A 15,942-nucleotide genomic window follows, 5' to 3' on the forward strand; every position below is an offset into this window, starting at 1 on the left:
CTTCCGCGGCAGCAGCGGCTTTAGCGCGGAGGTCGGCAACGGCCTCGGGCGCCCCGCCGCTTCGGATATTTCCGCCGCCTGCCCGCTTTGGCTCTTCCCGCCCGGCCTGCGTTGTGCGCCTGCGCAGCCGCCGCAAACCCGCGTTGCTCAGCGATGGAGTTTGGGGTTCGGCCTCCTTCGGCTGGACTCGGGCATTTCCGTTCATGGAGATGACGCTTCGGCGGCCTTGCAGGTCACTTCCGGCGACTTTCGCGGGGCCGGGCAGGAAGCGGAGTTAGTCGCCATCTTTGAGTGGGGCAGACGTGGGCCGCTTTTGCTCGCGGTCACTTCATCTTAAGTTGTATATATGTGCAGAGCGCGGCGCGGGTGGTCACCTCCGCTGCTGCCGCCACCCGCCCGGCCTGCCTTTGACCCTATGGGTCACAGACAAGGCAGGGTGATCGCGGCAAGACCCTGAGTGAGACTAGATGCGTTACCCAGAGGGTGCGAGGTCGAGTACCTTCCCTGTCCCATCGCAAACCCAAAGATCCCCGTTCCTGGAGATTCTGATTGAGGTAAACTAACAAAACATGTATTGTGCCAGAGAGTGGTAAGCACTGTGGAGGGTTACAGTGGTGTAGGGGAAGACCTGTCGGGGTGGACACTTGGGGAACGCGACGTGGGGGCGGAATCGGGCCGCTATTGGCGTGGGCCTCAAGTTCCAGCGGACACGCACTGCAGCCTCTGCGCTTCCCCCACTATCTGGAAAAGGGGATGGAGGCGGGGGTCAGCTTCCCATCCAATCACAGCTCAGCGTGCCTCGGAGGGCGGGAGGAAACGGAACTCTGCCGGTCAGCGACTTCCGGCCGTCACCACGGAAACTGCCAGCCCCGTGAGCGCATGGTGTGGCACTTGCCTGCGGAGGGGCCCAGGCGCCACTCCTCTGATTCTGCAGATGCTCCCCCAGGAGTGGCTTCTGGCCAAGGCCAAGCCCCTTCTTTGAAACTGCCTTTCAGCCTGTGTTACCTGCACCCAAGTCACCCACTGGAGGGTTGGGGGAGAGGGGCTGTGTGAAGGACCTGGACAATGGGATGGAAGGGGAAGATGGCTAGGGCAAAACAGGCAATGGCACTGGGTCCTGGAGACGCTGCCCTGAAGCCTGCAGTATGCTGAACTTATGCTCTCAGCATCTGTCCACTTTCACCTAAGCTGCGTTTCCACTGGTTTGCTGCTGAATCTACTCCTGACTGAAACCTTCCAATGTGCATGGGGCCAGGGTGGGAGAAGCCTTCAGCTCTAGCGATGGGAATGATCACCACAGGGCAGGGAAACTGGCCCAGGGCCTGCAGCCTTTGCTTCTCAGACTGGCTGGGGTTCCATCTGCAGGGTCCTACACCCTCATCACCTGCTGCTTGTGAACACGAGAACAGGAAAGTCTTGAAAAATCTGAATTTCCAGGTGAAATCTTCTAGTTTTAAAACTAGGAAATGGTTTCCTAGGTGTAAAGGAGTTTTACAAAGACATCCTGAGGCAGAATCTGGATCACCAGGTGTCAGTTTGCTCCTGCTGGATCGCATAATCTTGGTTGGCTAGGGAGATTCTGGCCTGTCTGGGTCCTTTCCTGGGGTTTGGCTTGGCCCATGGCCCAGGGGACAGCCGTGACAGGGTGTGGAGGGGAGCATGCAGGTTGCAGGCATCAAGTTTAGGCACAGTACCACCCACAAACCTGGGGGTTGGCAGATCCAAGTGGGATCCTTGGCTCCCAGCTGTAAGAAGTGCTGTGACCCCACTGCTTCCCTTTGTTCCTCTAGTACTAAGGGTGAGATGCTGAATGTCCCCATGAGTACAACTCTTCAGCGGGTACTCCTACTGATAGGTAGATAAAGGTAGAAAGCTTTGGCCGCTCAGGACCACTTTAGGGAGTAGGGTGCTGTTAGGGTAAGGGTAGCTGTACAGCTGAGCTGGGGTGGGAGAGGTAGTATCATGGGAATGAATCATTAACGCTGACTTGGAGCAAGGAGGACTGGTGCTCAGGAGGCTGGTAACCTCCCTGAGGATTGAGTGTTCTCCCAGCCCTTGGAGGCCCTGGTCTCAGTGTCAAGGGAAAATCCCATGGGATTTCATCACCAGACAAGGCTGGGCTCCAGACCTACCCACCTAGGCATCACTGTGCAGGGCAGAGACTACAAACACCTCTCTTCACTTGCAGATCTGTTAAGGGCAGGCTGGAACAGGGGTTGGAAAGGGAGAAGAGACTAGGCCAGCACCACCTCTTCCCCTTGGCAACAGCAGGTCCTTCCAGGAGCAACAGTTTTTACATACCTCCCAGAACCAGGCTCACTGGGCCCCTTGGAGACACCCACACCAGTGCCCCCTCAGGAGTCTCCTAGGCCTATGGGGCACCCTCTTGAGAACAGAGACCTCCAGACCAGCTGAGCAGTACCCCCTCAGGCCCACAGGGCTTCCCTGCCAGCTAAGAGACCCCAGGACTGGCTCAGCAGTGCCCTCTTCTCAGGGGCCTGAGTTCCAGCTCCATGGGAAACTCATTGGAGCTTCTAAGTTGCAATGCTTCCCTTTGTTCCTCTAGTCCTAAGGGTCTAGCTGCTTCCTGCAGGAACTTTCCCATTTCTAAGACAGATTGACTTAACCTTCTCACTCTCCCATCAATCACCTAACACCTAGTTAGCTGTGCTCTGTCTCTTGATGGGACTCAATCAGATCAGGCATGGCACCATGCTATGCACATATGTACTCTTGGTGGATGCTCACAGAGAACATTTCTTCCTCTCTGGGTTTGAGAAACCGAGGTCCATTGCCCAGGGAGAGCTGAAGCTGGACTGCCCAGGGCAGTTCTGCCCCACCTGCTGCTGGTCCATTCCCTCTGTAAACTAGAAGCTGGGTATAGCGGCCATCCCACACGCGGGGTAGGTGATGCTAGGAGCCACCTCTCTCAGGGTGAAGAGGGGTGTTGTGGAGGTGAACCCTCACAGGAACCACGTGGTTACAGAGGGAGCACACCAGCCCAGCACTCGGGGGGCTGGAGGGTGGGGAGTGAAGGACGCACAGGTAGGGAGGCACTGAGTGGGTGGAGACCCAGTTTCCATCTACTGTTTATTGGACACCTACAGTAGCCAAGCCCTGGGCGGACCTGCTTATACTTATGTAATCGCCAGCCTCACAATAACCAGGGGAGGTAGGTGTTCTGACCATGGCGGACACAGTGCGTCCCGGCTGGAGCTACTCGGCGCTGTGGACGCGCTGGTGCTGAATGAGCTTGGTGCTCTGGTGGAAGCGGCGGCCACAGTCCTGGCAGGCGAAGGGCTTCTCTCGTCGGTGGGTGCGCAGATGCTGCGTGAGCGTGGGCCGCTGGCGGAAGGCCTTGCCACACTCAGGGCATGCGTAGGGCCGTTCACCCGTGTGGATGCGCCGGTGCTGGGTGAGGTTGGCGTGCTGCCGAAAGCTCTGGCCGCACTCGGGGCAGGCGAAGGGCCGTTCGCCCGTGTGGATGCGCTGGTGCTCGGTGAGCCGCGAGACCTGCGTGAAGCCCAGGCCGCACTCACCGCAGTGGTAGGGCTTTTCGCCGGTGTGTGTCCTCTGATGACGCGTGAGCTTGAGGCGCTGGCTGAAGCGCTGGCCACACTCGGGGCAGGCAAAGGGTTTCTCGCCCGTGTGTACGCGGAGATGCTGCGTGAGCGTAGGCCGCTGGCGGAAGGCCTTGCCACACTCGGCGCAGGCGAAGGGCCGCTCCCCGGTGTGGATGCGCCGGTGCTGCGTCAGGTTGGAGCGCTGCCGGAAGCTCTGGCCGCACTCGGCACAGGCGAAGGGCCGCTCGCCACTGTGCACGCGCCGGTGCTGCAGCAGCACTGAGCGGCGGCCGAAGCGCTCGCCGCACTCGACGCAGCCAAAGGACTTGTCGCCCGTGTGTACCGCCTGGTGCTCCAGCAGCACGGCGCGCCGCGCGAAGCTCTCGCGGCACTCGCTGCACGGAAAGGGGCCGGGAGGCTCGGGCGCACCAGGAGGGGCCGGGGGCTTAGCGCCAGGGCCCGGGGGATCGCCGTGGATGCGCTGGTGCTGCAGCAGATTGGAGCGCTGCCGGAAGCTCTGGCCGCACTCAGCGCAACGGAAAGGCTGTTCGCCCGTGTGCACTCTCCGATGCTCTTCCAGGCGCGCGCTGCGCACGAAGCCCTGGCCACAGTCGCCGCACACGAACGGCCGCTCCTCGGTGTGCGTAAGCTGGTGGCGCAGCAGGTGCGAGCTGCGGCTGAAGCTGCGGCCGCACTCGCTGCACACGAATGGTCGCTCACCCGTGTGGATCTTCTGGTGCCTCAGCAGGTTGCTGCGTTGGCTGAACACCTTGCCACATACATCGCAACGGCCGCCCCTAACCACCCCGCCCCCAGTGCTGGGGCGGCCCCGGCTCCGGCCCCTGGGGGAGCGCCAGCGGGTGGTGATCAGAGCAGGGCCCACACCCCGGCAGGGATCCTCGTCCGTGGGGTCCTGTTCACTCCTCAGATCGCTGGGGAGCAGAAGCGCATGCGCAAAGCCACCTTCGCGGGAGGGTGATTGGATCTGGCCAGAAAGGCCAGCCATGCCGAGGTCCCAGGGGACGTGGAGGTGAGGGCTTACACTACCTGGACCTGCGGAGATGCTGCCTAGCTGCAGCGCGAACCCTGCATACACAAGGGGACCATTCATTCATGACAGAATGCCCACCGTGCCGGGACCCACTTCATCCCTGGGGACACAGTGTGAACTACAGGGACCTGAAACTGACCAAAGAGGCAGACGGAGGCGACAAATGCAGGGGTAGGGATTCTATCTGTACAGACTTCCCTGATGAGGTGATAATGAGACAGAACCCAGCACAAGGAGGAAGACTGGGCTATGTGAAAAAGCTTTCTAGGTCTGATTTAGGTTGGAAAAAATCGTTTTTGGAAGGGCTGTAGGGCAAGCGTGGGGGCATTGTCTAGGTGGAAAATGATGGTCTCAGCAAATGCAGGGAAGTGGGTGGGTCTCGGAGGCTGGAGGTGGAGCCAACAGAAAGAGGGTGCAGGCTCCTGGATAGTGGTCTGGGGTTTGGATGTGCCTTGCTTGTGATGTCTGTGGGGCATCTGAGGAACACAGACTTCATGAAGGCTGTGGGGAAACGTGAGCAAGGGCTCTAGGGCATACACATGGCACACAGAACCCGGGCCTGCAAGTGATCAACACAGGGGTGGGTATCTACAGAGGAGAGAAGTGGGTCCCAGCCACACTGTGAGCACTCCAGCGTCAGACGCTGGGTGAAGGAGGAGGCACCAGCAACTCCAACTGAGAATCAGGGCCTGGAGAAGGCGGAAGCCTGGAGGAGGTTAAATCAAGAAGACTGAGAGAGCAGTGAGGGCTTTTAGTGGTGAGAGAAAGTCCATAAGTCGCCAAAGAAAAGTCAGATAAACTAGAATACATCAAAGGAAATCAGCAAAAACCACATCAGAGTCAAAAGACAAATGGCCAAAAAACAAAAAAAATTAAAAAAGGACAAATGGCAAACCAAAAAACTCTCCACAGGCAAAAGGCTAATTAACCTCCTAAGTAAAGAGCTACAATAAATCAGTAAGAAAGATCAATAACCTCATAGACACATGGGCAAAGGATGTGAACAGGACAGGAAATGTAGCTAATGCTTATATCCCATAAAATACACTCCATCTCCTCCTAGTAAGAAAAATGCACCTTAGGGCTGAACTCATCTGCCATTTCCACACCCTGACTGCAGGGACCCAAGTGTTCCTATGTATTGCTGGTAAGCATAAATGGGAAGACAGTGTGGTAAAATCCATCAAAACAGCAAATGTCCCACACTTTGTTCAAGTAATTCAATTTTTAGGTACTTCTTCAACAGTTGTGTTCCTCCTTGTACTAAGTGACCTACATACAAGGTTTTCAATGGTGTGTCCACAGTGAGCCACAGTGGGGTTCTGTGTAGCTACCCAAAGATGTAGAGCACTTGCTGCTGTGTACTTAAGTTGGAAGATGCACAAAAAATGCCAGATGTGGAACAGGGTGGAGAATAAGCATCCATGTGTGTGTTTTTTTTTTTTTTTTTTTTTTTTTTTTTTTTTTTTGAGACTGAGTCTTGCTGTGTCGCCCAGGCTGGAGTGCAGTGGTGTGATCTCGGCTCACCGCAACCTCTGCCTCCCGGGTTCAAGCGATTCTGCTGCTTCATCTTCCTGAGTAGCTGGGATTATAGGCGTGCACCACCATGCCTGGCTAATTGTTTGTATTTTTTTTTTTTTTGAGACGTAGTTTTGCTCTTGTTGCCCAGGTTGGAGTGCAATGGCGTGTTCTCTGCTCACTGCAAACCTCCATCTCCTGGGTTCAAGCGGTTCTTCTGCCTCAGTCTCCCGAGTAGCTGGGATTACAGGCATGCACCACCACACCCGGCTAATTTTGTATTTTTAGTAGAGACAGGGTTTCTCCATGTTGGTCAGGCTGGTCTCGAACTCCCGACCTCAGGTGATCTGCCCACTTCAGCCTCCCAAAGTGCTGGGATTGCAGGCGTGAGCCACCGCACCTAGCCAATTTTTTGTATTTTTAGTAGAGACATGGTTTCACCATGTTGGCCAGGCTGGTCTCGATCTCCTGACCTCATATGATCCACCCGCCTCGCCTTCCCAAAGTGCTGGGATTACAGGTGTGAGCCACCACGCCCAGCCCGTGTGTGTGTGTGCGCACTTGAGACGGAGTCTCGCTCTGTTGCCCAGGCTGGAGTGTAGTGGCGCCATCTCAGCTCACTGCAAGCTCCGCCTCCCGGGTTCACGCCATTCTCCTGCCTCAGCCACCCGAGTAGATGGGACTACAGGCGCCCGCCACCACGCCTGACTAATATTTTGTATTTTTAGTAGAGACGGGGTTTCGCCGTGTTAGCCAGGATGGTCTCGATCTCCTGACCTCGTGATCCGCCCGCCTTGGCCTCCCAAAGTGCTGGGATTACAGGCGTGACGTGCCGCGCCGGGCCCATGTGTGTTTTAAAGGAGAGGAATGGGGCTGGGCACGGTGGCTCACGCCTGTAATCCCAGCACTTTGGGAGGCCGAGGCGGGTGGATCACGAGGTCAGGAGATCGAGACCATCCTGGCTAACACGGCGAAACCCCGTCTCTACTAAAAATACAAAATATTTAGCCAGGCGTGGTGGCCGGCGCCTGTAGTCCCAGCTACTCGGGAGGCTGAGGCAGGAGAATGTCGTGAACCCGGGAGGCGGAGCTTGCAGTGAGTCGAGATTGTGCCACTGCACTCCAGCCTGGGCGACAGAGTGAGACTCCGTCTCAAAAAAAAAAAAAGAAGAGGAATGGGCCAGGCATGGTGGCTCACGCCTGTGATCCCGGCACTTTGGCAGGCAAAGGTGGGCGGATCACCTGAGGTCGGGAGTTCCAGACCAGCCTGACCAACATGGGGAAACCCCGTCTCTACTAAAAAAATACAAAATTAGCTGGGCGTGGTGGAGCATGACTGTAATCTCAGCTACTTGGGAGGCTGAGGCAGGAGAATGGCTTGAACCGGGAGGTGGAGGTTGCAGTGAGCCGAGATCGCGCCATTGCACTCCAGCCTGGGCAACAAGAGCGAAATTCCATCTCAAAAGAAAAAAAAAAGGGAATGAACATGTGTCTGGGAATGTCTTTGCTTCTGTATGTACAGAATCTTTTTACAAAGACACATAAGAAACAAGCAGTGTTGGCTGCTGGAGAGTAAGACTGTGTGGCCCAGGCAGGGAAGGGGCATTCCACTGTATACTGTCTTGTGCCTTTTGAATTTCCTAACATATGAATGTATTAGCTATTCAGAATAGTCTCCTGATGAAGACATAAAAAGACCTCTCTGAGCCAGGTGTGGTGACTTGAGCCTGTAATTGCAGCTACTTGGAAAGCTGAAGCAGGAGGATCACTTGAGGTCAGGAGTTCAAGACCAGCCTGGGCAAAACAGCAAAACCCTGTCCTTTAAATAAATAAAGCAAGACTCCATTTCATAAATAAATAGATAGATAGATAAACCTCTCTGGCTGCAAAGAAAAGGCACAGTTTTATTCCCAAGACTCTTTTTTTTTTTTTTGAGACTGGGTCTCACCCCCATTGCCCAGACTGGTGTGCACTGGCACCATCTCAGCTCACTGCAGCCTTGACTTCCCTGGCTTGGGTGATTCTCCCACCTCAGCCTCCCAAGTAGCTGGGACTACAAGTACGTGCCACCATGCCCAGCTAGTTTTTTGTATTATTTTTTAGTAGAGACAGGGTTTTGCCATGTTGCCCAGGATGGTCTCGAACTCTTGGACTCAAACAATCCACCTGCCTCCGCCTCCCAAAGTGCTGGGATTACAGGCATGAGCGGCTGCGCCTGGCTAAGAAGATTCTAAAAACTCAGGAGTTGGAGGTACCTGGTACTTCTGGCCATGCAAGTGAATGAGCAGGGCACCAGCCAGGCTGGAGAGGCTGTTTCAGAAGCAGATGCTGGGCAGGGCTGCTGCTGTGGGCTCTGTCTGCACAGAATTCTGAGCCAACAGTATGCACTGCCATGACTTACTTCTGGATTTCTTCTCCCATCCTGGCAGAAGGCTATGTTAAGGGTGAGAAACCGTACTGAGAAAGTCAGGGTTATTAGGTAAACAGTCCCATTGGATGCTGAGATGTTAATCTCTTTCCCAAGGATGCTGGCAGGAGGCTGAAGTTACCTTCTTGCAGGATTCAGACGATGGAACGAAACATGCTTGGAGGAAGAGTGCCCCCAAAATGGCCTAGCCACATTGCCCTATGGATCTGTTTGCAGCATCCACTCATACTCAAGCTGCTTGCTCACATACCCTAAGAAAAGGGTCTCCTTGGGGAGTGGGGTTCCCCTATGTCCCTTCCAGCCAGTAAGCCCCACATCTACCTGCTCAGAGCTGTCAGCCAGATTTGTGGTGCCCCTCTCTTGCATATAAGCCAACAACTAGGAGAGAATAGAGAACACACTGTTTTTTTTTAAAAAGTTACTGCTGTTCTCAGAGAAATAAGGAAAGACATTGTAAATGAAAGAACAACAGGAGACAGCTAAAAAGATGAACATTCAGAGAATAAAAACACTCTTGGAAAGTAAAAATATGCTACAAGAGACCAGATGAAGTAGCTCATGCCTGTAATCCCAGCACTCTGGGAGGCTGAGGTGGGAGCATCACTTGAAGCCAGGAATTTAAGACCAGCCCTGGCAACATAGTGAGAACCTGTTTCTACAAAAAAATAAAAAAATTAAAAATGAGTCAGGTACAGTGACACATGCCTGCAGTCCCAGATACTTGGGAGGCTGAGGCGAGAGGATCACTTGAGCCCAGGAGTTCAAGGTTACAGTAAGCTATGATGGCACCACTGTGCTCTAGTCTGTGTGAAATAGTGAGACCCCCTCCCCCCACCAAAAAAAAAGCTACCAGAAATGAAAATCTTAACAGAAGGTCTGAAAGATACAAGTGAGAAAATTTCCAGGAAAATAGAGTAGAAAGACAAAGGAATGGAAAATTGGAGTGAAAAGATAAGAACATTAAAGGACCCATCCCAGATGCCAATAGCCAAGTAAGAGGCATCCCAGAAACAGGGAGCAGAGCAATAGAAGGGAAGGAAATAAAAAAAAATTTCAAGGCAGTTTCCCAGAACTGAGAGATGTGAATTTCAAACTGAAAAAGCTCACCAACAATAGTGATAAAAAAAGGTCTGTGACTGTACTAATAAAAAGAATTCTTCCAGCCAAACTTCAATCTAATGTTGAGGGCTAGACAATGTGTTTCAGATATGGGACATGTCAGAATTTTATCTTCCACACCAGAACACCCACAAAGCTCCACCAAAACAAAGGTGTGAACTAAGAAAGAGGAGACCCTGGGTCTCAGGAACAGGAAGGAACATAACAGAAGATGGGTTGTAGGAGGAGCCTGGATGATGCCAGACAAAGGTGGTGGCTGAGAGGTAGATGGCAGGGGGCCTCTGGTCCGTAATGCTTCGATGATTGGGCAGGATCCCTATCCTGTGTCAAGGTCCCTCCTGCCCACCTGCTCTGTCTACTAACCTGCTGTCCTTGTCAGGTCCCAGCCCTACCTGTCCTGATGCCTGACCAGCAGGATGCAAGCCCAGGAGGCCATCCAGGATACCAGGACTGGGAGAGAATGTGGGTACGGGGAATACTCGCCCTGCTTGCAAAAGGTTTTACTAGGGTGGGGAGTTTCTAGAAAGTAGAGGGGCTGTGGGATCAGTGGTAGTGGTGGGTGGCTTTTTTTGAGGGCAGAAGATGCTAGAGGAGGTTGAACCTTATAGGGGATGATCTAGGGAATGGGGGAACTTGGGGATGCTGGAGTAAGAGGGCTGCCTGCGTAGGGCCAGGAGTGGGGTCGGCAGAGATGGTGCTGTCCATGCGGAAGGCCTAGTCCCACCACACCCCATCTCACTTACCTGGGGAGAAGATGCCCCCAGCTTCCTCATGCCACAGGGCCCTGGGGTGCTCCCTCCATGAGGGACCCTCAGGCCCAGTCTTGCTGTGGGGAAAGATCTGGTCCAGCACGGTCCCACATCTCTGAAATCACAGTGGTCACTGCTCCTCTGTGCCTGGCTGGGCTCAGGGAGGGACCTACCTGACCCCACCCAGCAACTTCCAGGGAAAGGAGGAGAACATGGACCTGGGCAGGACTTACCTGGGCCTCCTCAGGCAGGAGGGTGGGTACAGACTCCTGGGTGGCAGCTAGAGGCCCAGACTCCAGGAAATCTAGAGAGGAAAACTGGTATCAGGCAGCCTGAGTGAGTTTCCACCCCACTGCCCTTCTTAGTGGTGTGCCAGGTGCTGGGATGCAGAGAGGTGGGATTCTTGGTTGTGGGCTTGGGTTGGGGAGGGCAGTGCAGGGTAGCTGAGGGCCCAGCTCAGGGGCTGGGTGAAGCAGAGTACCCTGGAAGGCCAGGGGTTGAGCTGCAGTGGGATGAGATGGGCTGAGGTTTGTGCCCCTGTAGCCGTATGTGAACCATGGGGCAAGGTGGTCAGCGGGGGTCAGAGGTATTGTACAAGGGTCCACATAGGAATGGCAGGGTGTGAGCAGCTAGTTCAGGTGCCCTGCCTGGGAGGTGAAAGGGGTCATACCCCTAACACTACGAGGTCCTCCCTCAGCAGCTCCTAATTATACCTCTGCCTGCTGTCTGTTCCCCAGTGACAAGCACATATTGCCTAACGCATCTCCTTGGGGACTGAACACCACATGCCATCTGTACTGGGAAACCCCAACAGCCTGCTCCATGCCATGGGGTTCGTGGGTACAGGGCTGTGGCAGTCAGGCTTGGTGTGTGAGGGGTAGTGACAGCACTGGCTGCGGTGGAGGGGAGACCTGACTGGGTAGAATGTGGGGGCTGCTGGCAGATGGAAACCATTCCATTTATAACAAACCTGGCCCAGTGGACTTCAGACTGACTGCTCAGGCCAGGTTCCCTGGCCCACCCAACCAGACCTTAGGCGCGCCCACCGTGCATGCCCTCACCTGAGTCCTCTGTAACCTCTGACTCCTCTTTCACCTGCAGGCCCAGTGGTGATTCCTGCATAGTCCTAGGAGGTGTCTTGGGCCCAGGCTCTGGAGTTGGAGGCTCAGTTTCAGGTAGGGGCTGGAAACTGGAGGGCTCCATCTTCTCTGATAGGACCTCCTGGCCCTGCACCTGGACTGTGACCTGGGGAGGTGCCCCCACCATCAGAAGTCCTACCAGAGAGTAAGGCTGGCCGCAACCTGGGGTTTGTGGGTGCCCATCCCACTGTAGGATCCCAGGGGCCTGCCTTGTAAATACCTACTGACTAGGTCCTCCAAGGACCTACCTCCCCTAGGCCCTGAGCAAAGAATGAAGGGACCACCTGCAGTCCCTCCCCTGCTCTGACATCGTGGCCTTCCAGTACCTTCCCCATATTCCCCTAGCCTGCAGCTCCTATGTCCACGTGACTGCAGGTGATGCAGGAATGGGCTGGGGAGTCTGGCCCTGGAATCCCTCTGCCCTGGGCAGCCTTGCACAGGGTCTCTGTTGCAGGTGGCCACTTCTGTACCACAAGGGAGAACGTGTGTCTGGCAAAGCGTGGTGCTGCCCAGGGTGAGGCCGAGCTGGATGATGCTCCAGTCCTGAACCCCACTCGTGGACACTCACTCACCCATCTCCGGGGTCCGCCCGGCTCCCGGCGCAGCCCATCTACTAGGGCAGCAGCCTCCTCGGGGCTGCCTGGCCGCTGCCCCTGCACACGGGCCTGGATCTCAGGGGGCAGTGCGCCCAGGAACTGCTCCAGCACCAACAGCTCCAGCATCTGCTCCTTGGAGCGTACCTCTGGACGCAGCCACTGGCGACACAGCTCTCGGAGCTGGGCCAGGGCCTCTTGGGGCCCTGTGGCCTCCTCATAGCGGAAGCACCGGAAACGCAGGCGTGCAGCTTCAGGGCCTGGGTCCCATAAGGCAGCCTCACCCTCCTCCTCAGAGTCCTCTAGCTTCACCATGACAGGCCCCTCATCTTCTGGGGGTGCTCGGTCTGGGGAGCCCAGCACCGCAGGCCTCATAGAGGGTACCAGGTCAGGTATCTGAGGCCAGTGTCTGCCCCTGGTGAAGAAATAGGATGAGGCTGTTGCAAAAGGAGTACAGTGAATGCTTCACTGCCTAGTCTATGCTGTACCGTTTGATCCTCAGACCTACCCCATGTGGAAGGCAGATGAGGAAACAGGCAAAGAAAGGCCATCTACAACCCACAGACTTATGCAGCTGGAAGCCCTCCCTTAGCCACCTGTATCCCTGGTCTTCTCTCCGCTTGGGCCTGTGCAAAGTCTCTGACAGTCTCCCTGCTCCAAACACAGGCTTTTTTTTCTTTTCTTTGAGACATGCTGTCAGTCAGTTGCCCAGGCTGAAGTGCAGTGGCGAGATCATGCGTCACTGCAGACTTGACCTCCCGGGCTCCAGAGATCGGCCTCCCAAGTAGCTGAGACAACAGGTGTGTGCCACGACATCCGGCTAATTTCTTAATTTTTCTGTAGGGATGGGATCTTACTATGTTGCCTAGGCTGTTCTTGAACTCCTGGGCTCAAGCAGATGATCCTCTTACCTTGACCTCCCGAAGTGCTGGGACTTACAGGTTTGTTCCACCATGCCAGCCCACAGGCTGTTTTTTAGGACTAGAAGACACTTCTCTCCCCTGTATCCTTCCCTTCTTCTACATGTGCAACCTCATTCCTGCGCTACAGCTCTCTCTTTACCAGGTGGATGGCACCTATACACCTACAGCCTGGGCATCAGCATCACTGCTGGCGTCTCCCCCTACCCAACGCCAGCCCTTACTTCACCTTCTATTCTCTCATCTACTTCGATGTGGCTCCTCATTTGGGCCCCACCATCATTCCCCTCCCTGCTTGGAAGCCTCACTCCACCTAATCCTCCATGTCAACCTGTGCAGTCACTTGTATGGCTCAGCTCCCAGGCAGCACCCTCTCTCCCTACTCAGCCCCATCTTCTAAGCCCAACATCACACTACGCAATGCCCCATCTCAGCTTCCTGATTTAGCTGGGGTTGGAAGGGGATGGGGGAGCTTCGCAATGGGTGGGGGGGCGGCAAAGGCTCCAAGACTGCCGGAACAGGAGCCTGCAAGGAAGTCCCGAGACTCTGATTCCGCCCATCTTCAGATCACTGTGCCTTCGAGAACTTGTTTCCCCATTTGCAAGTGGGGCTGACCTCCCTCCTCGCGCTGTTCCTTCTGCAGCTGCGGCTTTAGGAAGGAATCTGCGTTTATGAAGGGGATGGCACCGCAGAATCATTCCCCCGTGGGTGGCATCGATTTCGAGGGCCGCCTCATCCTGGGGGCCAAGCCTCCACTCTTCAAGGTGCCAAGTCAACCTGAAACCCTGGGAGAGACTTGGGTCATAGCCAAGATGGCAGGTACCTACGGAGGGTCCCGAAATACACTTCCCAGAAGTCCAGGCGGCAACTTCCGCTCCAGGGTGCCAAGGTAGGTCCAGACGACGCCTAGGCAACCGGGGGCGGGGCTCCCAAAGCCTGTCGTCGTGGCAACGAGTAGTGATTGACAAGCCTCTCGCTCTAGCCCTGGGCGCTCCCGCAAGGACTGCCCGGATTCGTTCCCCGCGCTTCCGGTCTCACTGGGGAGCCGGAATCCCCGAGTCTGCAGCCACCGCCCCCGTCCACACGATAGCCCTCCCGGTTAAGAGGACCCCGCCCTCACCTCTGCGCTCAGCGGGCCGCTCCGCGCTCCTGAGCACGCGCAGTCTTCGACTTCCCCCTCCCGCTGGACTACGTCTCCCAGGATGCTCCGCGCACCAGCTCGAGCGCCTCCTTGCCCTTCCCCCACCCTCGTCCCCGTTTCTACACCCTCTCCTCCCTTCCCCTAGCGGTGGTCGCAATGATCAGGTCATACTCCTGGCCGCTTCTTCCCATGCTCCCCGCCTCGAATCCGTGCGTCGGCATGCGCAAGCCTCTCAGGTACAACAGACGGCAGCACCGCCTACCAGATCGCGCATGCCCCCCACCACGTTTTCCTCACTTCTCTACGGGCCTTCCTGAGATTAGCAGGATCCTGCACCAATCACGGCCGTCATTAGAACTCCGTCGGTGCCCCACCGCGTCTCCATGGCAACTCCCTACAGGAAGGGGCCTCTGCTACTTCCTAGACCGCAAAATGGAGAAAGGCTTGGCCCGATGCTTTCCGGCAGATGTAGTCAGCAGGCCCTTCGTGTGTACGTGCGCGCGCGGCGCGATGACGTTCCTCTGTGATCATGGGCGAGGGGCGGGCCCTGAACGTCTCCATGGTAACCTGGGGACACGACTCGACATCGCCTGGGTAACCCGGAGACGCGGCGGGCGTTGAAAATGCAATGGGGCATGTGGGATGAAGAGGTGGGGAAGGGTACTGGGGCAGAGAGATGCCGATCGATAGAAACAGCGAGGAGAGACGGAGAGAGACCAGAGACTCAAGGGCAAAGAGAGACGAAGGACCGGCGGGAGGAAGAGAGAGAGAGACAGAGAGACAGACTCACAGACTGGGAGGACCGGAGACTCGACGCGAGGAGAGACAGTGAAAATAAGTGAACAAACATAGAGACACGGGTCCAAGTTATAAGAGGGCTGAGTGGATCAGAGGGTCAGGGCCGGGCAAACAGGTGTCAGAACAGTTAGCAAGAGAGAGGCAGATCAGAAAGGGATGCAGATGAAAGAGACACAAAGAAGGAAACGCAGAATGGGTTCACAGAGACAAGAAATGCAGATATCCAGACTCAAGAGGTAGACAAGAAGGGAGAGGGACAGAAACAAGAAGGGAGAAAAGGGACAGAAATTAGAGATACAGTAAGATGGATTGACAGTTTTCGAAGACCTAGAGAAAGATGACAGCACGAAGAGAGACAGGGAGAATCCGAGGTAAAACTGTTAGGAAAACTTAGGAGTCCAGATGCTGTCCAGTTATATGCTACCCTGTACAGGTTGATAGGTTGCAAATGCTTTCTGTCCAGTGTATCGCTTTGTAGCTCACTAAGCAGTTTTGTATCCAACTTTGTGCTTTTATTTCAGTGTTTTTCTTTTTCTTTCTTTCTTTTTTTTTTTTTTTTTTTTGACGGAGTCTCGCTGTTGCCAGACTGGAGTGCAGTGGCACGATCTCGGCTCACTGCAACCTCCGTCTCCCAGGTTCAAGCGATTCTCCTGCCTCAGCCTCCCGAGTAGCTGGGACTGCAGGCTGCTCCACCACACCCGGCTGATTTTTGTATTTTTAGTAGAGATGGGGTTTTACCATGTTGGCCAGACTGGTCTTGACCTCCAGACCTCTGGTGATCCGCCCACCTCGGCCTCCCAAATTGCTGGAATTACAGGTGTGAGCCACCGCGGCCGGCCAGTGTTTATTCTTCCTTTCCTGTCTTCCTAGAATCATCTTGCTGCTTCCCTCAGTACGGTAAATAAATCTTTTGACACATGCTCA

At 55.3% G+C, this 15,942-nt stretch overlaps 1 protein-coding gene and 1 long non-coding RNA gene across 9 annotated transcripts, besides 8 other annotated features; one reads left to right on the top strand and one right to left on the bottom strand.

Annotated features, from left to right (window-relative positions):
* Positions 111-370: an enhancer, noted in NCBI's record as "active region_15211". NCBI's record gives its function as "activates an Ori minimal core promoter by ATAC-STARR-seq in GM12878 lymphoblastoid cells {active_cell/tissue: GM12878}" and the evidence as "EXISTENCE:reporter gene assay evidence [ECO:0000049][PMID:35858748]".
* Positions 331-15,942, top strand: MZF1-AS1 (MZF1 antisense RNA 1). The gene is made up of 6 exons (NR_027334.2): positions 331-554; positions 10,058-10,140; positions 11,529-11,602; positions 13,003-13,100; positions 13,723-13,968; positions 14,062-15,942. It is a non-coding gene; the product is annotated as an MZF1 antisense RNA 1 (long non-coding RNA).
* Positions 516-1,112: an enhancer, noted in NCBI's record as "NANOG-H3K27ac-H3K4me1 hESC enhancer chr19:59070738-59071334 (GRCh37/hg19 assembly coordinates)". NCBI's record gives its function as "activates a minimal SCP1, AML or CMV promoter by ChIP-STARR-seq in primed H9 embryonic stem cells {active_cell/tissue: H9 hESC(primed)}" and the evidence as "EXISTENCE:reporter gene assay evidence [ECO:0000049][PMID:30033119]".
* Positions 3,077-14,718, bottom strand: MZF1 (myeloid zinc finger 1). 8 transcript variants are annotated; one of them, XM_047439312.1, is made up of 7 exons: positions 14,518-14,718; positions 13,695-13,864; positions 12,139-12,574; positions 11,489-11,672; positions 10,661-10,731; positions 10,422-10,542; positions 3,077-4,649 (listed from the first exon to the last, which is right to left on the bottom strand). In XM_047439312.1, the coding sequence occupies exons 2-7, from the start codon at positions 13,775-13,777 to the stop codon at positions 3,217-3,219; spliced, it is 2,328 nt and encodes a 775-aa protein (XP_047295268.1). In that variant the 5' UTR covers positions 13,778-13,864; positions 14,518-14,718; the 3' UTR covers positions 3,077-3,216. The 8 variants fall into 8 exon arrangements, with proteins under 8 accessions (XP_047295268.1, XP_047295269.1, XP_005259261.1 ...); XM_047439313.1 differs by lacking the exon at positions 14,518-14,718 and adding an exon at positions 14,392-14,480; XM_005259204.4 differs by lacking the exon at positions 14,518-14,718 and adding an exon at positions 14,200-14,480.
* Positions 4,386-4,535: a silencer, noted in NCBI's record as "silent region_11095". NCBI's record gives its function as "represses an Ori minimal core promoter by ATAC-STARR-seq in GM12878 lymphoblastoid cells {active_cell/tissue: GM12878}" and the evidence as "EXISTENCE:reporter gene assay evidence [ECO:0000049][PMID:35858748]".
* Positions 4,546-4,595: a silencer, noted in NCBI's record as "silent region_11096". NCBI's record gives its function as "represses an Ori minimal core promoter by ATAC-STARR-seq in GM12878 lymphoblastoid cells {active_cell/tissue: GM12878}" and the evidence as "EXISTENCE:reporter gene assay evidence [ECO:0000049][PMID:35858748]".
* Positions 13,185-14,046: an enhancer, noted in NCBI's record as "NANOG-H3K27ac-H3K4me1 hESC enhancer chr19:59083407-59084268 (GRCh37/hg19 assembly coordinates)". NCBI's record gives its function as "activates a minimal SCP1, AML or CMV promoter by ChIP-STARR-seq in naive H9 embryonic stem cells {active_cell/tissue: H9 hESC(naive)}" and the evidence as "EXISTENCE:reporter gene assay evidence [ECO:0000049][PMID:30033119]".
* Positions 14,047-14,906: an enhancer, noted in NCBI's record as "NANOG-H3K27ac-H3K4me1 hESC enhancer chr19:59084269-59085128 (GRCh37/hg19 assembly coordinates)". NCBI's record gives its function as "activates a minimal SCP1, AML or CMV promoter by ChIP-STARR-seq in naive and primed H9 embryonic stem cells {active_cell/tissue: H9 hESC(naive and primed)}" and the evidence as "EXISTENCE:reporter gene assay evidence [ECO:0000049][PMID:30033119]".
* Positions 14,275-14,364: an enhancer, noted in NCBI's record as "active region_15212". NCBI's record gives its function as "activates an Ori minimal core promoter by ATAC-STARR-seq in GM12878 lymphoblastoid cells {active_cell/tissue: GM12878}" and the evidence as "EXISTENCE:reporter gene assay evidence [ECO:0000049][PMID:35858748]".
* Positions 14,425-14,854: an enhancer, noted in NCBI's record as "active region_15213". NCBI's record gives its function as "activates an Ori minimal core promoter by ATAC-STARR-seq in GM12878 lymphoblastoid cells {active_cell/tissue: GM12878}" and the evidence as "EXISTENCE:reporter gene assay evidence [ECO:0000049][PMID:35858748]".

This window comes from Homo sapiens, chromosome 19 (assembly GCF_000001405.40).
Source record: "Homo sapiens chromosome 19, GRCh38.p14 Primary Assembly".
Taxonomy (NCBI): domain Eukaryota; kingdom Metazoa; phylum Chordata; class Mammalia; order Primates; family Hominidae; genus Homo; species Homo sapiens.